We start from the raw sequence: 3,599 nt of genomic DNA on the forward strand, positions 1-3,599 counted from the left end.
ATCTGAAAAACACTCCCCTAAGGCTAGCGACCTATGTATACCACTACAATAACACTTACCATGCTATAATTATTGACTCATTTATTAGTGTTTCTGGACTGTGAATATGTGCATGATATTCACAATAGCATCCTCAGCCACCAGCACAATAAATACTCGTGAAGGAAATGTTATAAAAATGTTCCACATTTTATTGTACCAAGGATATTCATTTATTTTCCTCAGCAAGTGGTTCTTACTCTGAGTTTTGTGGTCCCATAGGCAGGTCTGTGGAAGAACTTTAGAAGGTCCAAGAACAGCCTAAAATTTCATGCAAATGTTTCATGTACAGCATATGACTGTTTGGTGGTGGTTGTGCTGGGGAGAGAATTTGTAACATTTTCAAAGTCATAACCCTCAAAGATTAGTGATCACACTGCAAGAATTATATCATTCACTATGGACTCATTTAGCATTTCCAGAATAACTGAGATATGCAAGATCCTCTACTGACTGTGGAGCTACAAACCTGAATTAAGTGAAGTCCTTCCCTTCAAATAACTCATTCACAGCTAGGCTGTCCCAATAGAGCAGGCAAATAAAAACTACTAGTGGTAAAGTCTATAATAAATATGTGGAGCTTCCCCATGGTGGTGGTAGTGAAGGCTACCCAGAGGAAGTGAGGTTTAAGTTGGGCCTTGAAAAATGAACAATTTATTATGCAGCAAATGAAAGAGATAGGAAAAGTATTCTAATTATTCAAATTAGAGTCAAAATAAAGCAAAAGCAAGAACAAAACTGCCAAGTGTGCACAGACACAAACATCTGTGTGATGCATATAGACATACATGCCTACAATTCTTTTTCTTTTTCCATTCCTAGTAGCATCTAACCTAGTGCTAGCTATACTGCACTAATTGTCCTAAACTTGAAATGCTACGGAATATGGATAAGCCATGCCATACTGTAATAGCAAATTCAAGCCATCAAAAAGAGTTTCAAATGTAAGGGCAACATAAAAACTTGTACTCCTCCAAACTAGTTGAAATTAAGAGATGTCATGGATTTATTTGAGGCCTGATTCTACAGATGGCAAGAATGAGCTATGTGCTTAGGAAGGCAAGGGAGCATCTAAAAGCATGAAGGCTGAATTGGTCCCCTAAGCTTGGTTTGTGTGAATCCTGCTTTGCACAGGTCTGCTAGCAGATGATCTGATGCCTTGGTGCAAATTAGAATTGGATGGCCCTTCCTCTGAGTGTATTCAGCATCATGCAGGGCACACAACTTGGGGAGTGAAAGCTGGATTCCAGCCCCCACTCACCTCCCAGGTGGGTACTTTGAATTCTCAAGTCCTAGAGATGCAACAGAGACAGAATAAATGACATATTTTACCAAATGTCAGGATATGTTGATCCAGTCTTGGAATGGTAAGTATTGAGAGAAGATCCCCCAAATCTTCTTCCTCATATTGAATAAAGTATGTGTGCAAAGTAATGAGCAGCAGCAGCTTAAGCCCCTGAAAGACATCTGTCTACTGTGGGCCTTTAAATCTTGCAACATTCTTGCAGGCACAATACATTGTGATAAGAATAAAGAGTTAAACTCTGCACATTTTAGGATAGGAGGCTCCAGAGAACAGTAATTCTAAAGAGAAAAAAGATCATTTTGTTTGTCCACTGGTTGGAAGGAAAATTTCAGGGTTAACAGCAGATTATGGATTTCCAATCAGAACAGCATTATACTGAATGAAAAATGGTGCTAGCTGTACTTGTAATGCTGATGTGTTTTTTCATAGCATTTCAACTATCTCTTTCTCTAATGAGTCTCAGTAAATACAGAGAACTTTAAAGCAGATATGACTTTGACTAATTCAATGTGTAAAACACACCGGTATATAATGTATATCATTTATATAAATATATAAAATCAAATTTAAAAAGTTACCTTGTGATCCAGCACCAGACAATTAAATAGGAAGAGTATAAGCCTCTTAAAAATATCTTCCTAACTTGTTTCATGTAGGTCTCTTCATTTTTTGTAGTGGGAATTTAACAACTCAGGGAAGATGGTACCTGAACACAAGCCATGAGATTGTCTCCAGAGGTCACCTGTCAACTGCTCCCAGTACCTCAAAGGACATAGGAGGCCTTTGGAGTATTCTCTATGATTCCAACATTAACATGCATGAGATTATTATATCTTCTATTTGCCTCCCCAAAAGACGCAAAGTTCCCAGCTTAGAGAATGAGAAGCATAAGTTAGCATATTTCAAAAGGAAAATAAAATGAGGATACATGAGTTCAGCATCTTCAGACAGACCACAAACTCCTAGAATGCAGTATCTTTTGCCTGTACCCAAACAGTAGATGCTCTGTTAGTATTTTCTGAATGACTGTCTTAAAAGAAGAGAGGAAAATCCCTGGAGAGCATGATGACTTATGTGGGTCCTAAAAACTTTTCCAGGTTCACTTAGAAGAAAATATTCACATTTTTCATATGTTAAATTTAATCTGTATTTTTCATGATTATTTCTTTTTCTATTTTTAAATGGGTCTTAAGTGACTTGGAGTTAAACATCTGAATGCTTGTTCTCAAATAGTTCTTTACTTAAGGTTGCACAATGCATTCACTACGTCTCTTGGCATTTCACCAGTGAATTGGTAATAGTGCCTACCTAATAAATGCTAAATGAATGACTGCAACAAATTCATACCCTAGAGAATGAACCAGATCCTGCTGAAGGGAGTTTTTATTAAGCTGTCACTATATCTTGGTTTTTAAGATTAGAGGGCCATCAAGAAAACACATTTTTCCATGTCTGTGAGCAGCAATCCACCTTTTGCACTCCCAGGTTTATGGCTAGTTCAATGCATCTAGTTCCTTTGACCCACAGAGGCACTACTGTTTGTGTACTATCCTTGGCCCACATAACAAAATGCTTCCCGCAAAATCAACAAGCTCAAAGACACACTAGATCCCACAGCCTTAGTTTTGGAATATCTTTATTCTGTTTTCTCACTTCTTTTTCGTTTTTCCTCGGATCTTCATTTCCACTTTTCAGTCTCAGTGGGTGAGCTGTTGGCAGCATTCTGAAATAAGCAGAAAACCTTTCTGATTCTCTGTGGGTAGCACAAGAGAACTGTTTTACTAGATGCAACCCACACTTAATTGCTGCCAAATTTGGGACCACAGACGTGGCCTTGATCATCCATAGGCATGAGTGATGGATAGCTACTCCAGCAGTCTGCTCAGCCATCCATCTCTGCAGGAAGATGACGGTGAAAGCTGAAGAGAGTGGAGCTGACATCAGCAGAAATGACCACAGGAGTCAGATGAAAAGGCAGTGGAGGAGGGGAACTGGTCTTTAATCTGCTCTCTGGGGCCTTTTGCAAATGAGGGCAATTCTAGTCACTTTGGTCCAGACACTTTGCAGATCTTTCAGTGGAAGAAAAAAAAAAAAGGCATATCTCCATGGGTAGGCAGGCATAAAAGTTGAGCAGAACCAGCAGGTCAAGACTATTTATCATCTAACTTTCTTCACCCTCTGAAAGATGGAAACTTAAGCTGATGCAAACTATACGCACCAATCCATCAGATGCTTGAGTCAGTTTTATGGATTG

Source organism: Homo sapiens, chromosome 13 (genome assembly GCF_000001405.40).
Source record: "Homo sapiens chromosome 13, GRCh38.p14 Primary Assembly".
NCBI classification, from domain to species: domain Eukaryota; kingdom Metazoa; phylum Chordata; class Mammalia; order Primates; family Hominidae; genus Homo; species Homo sapiens.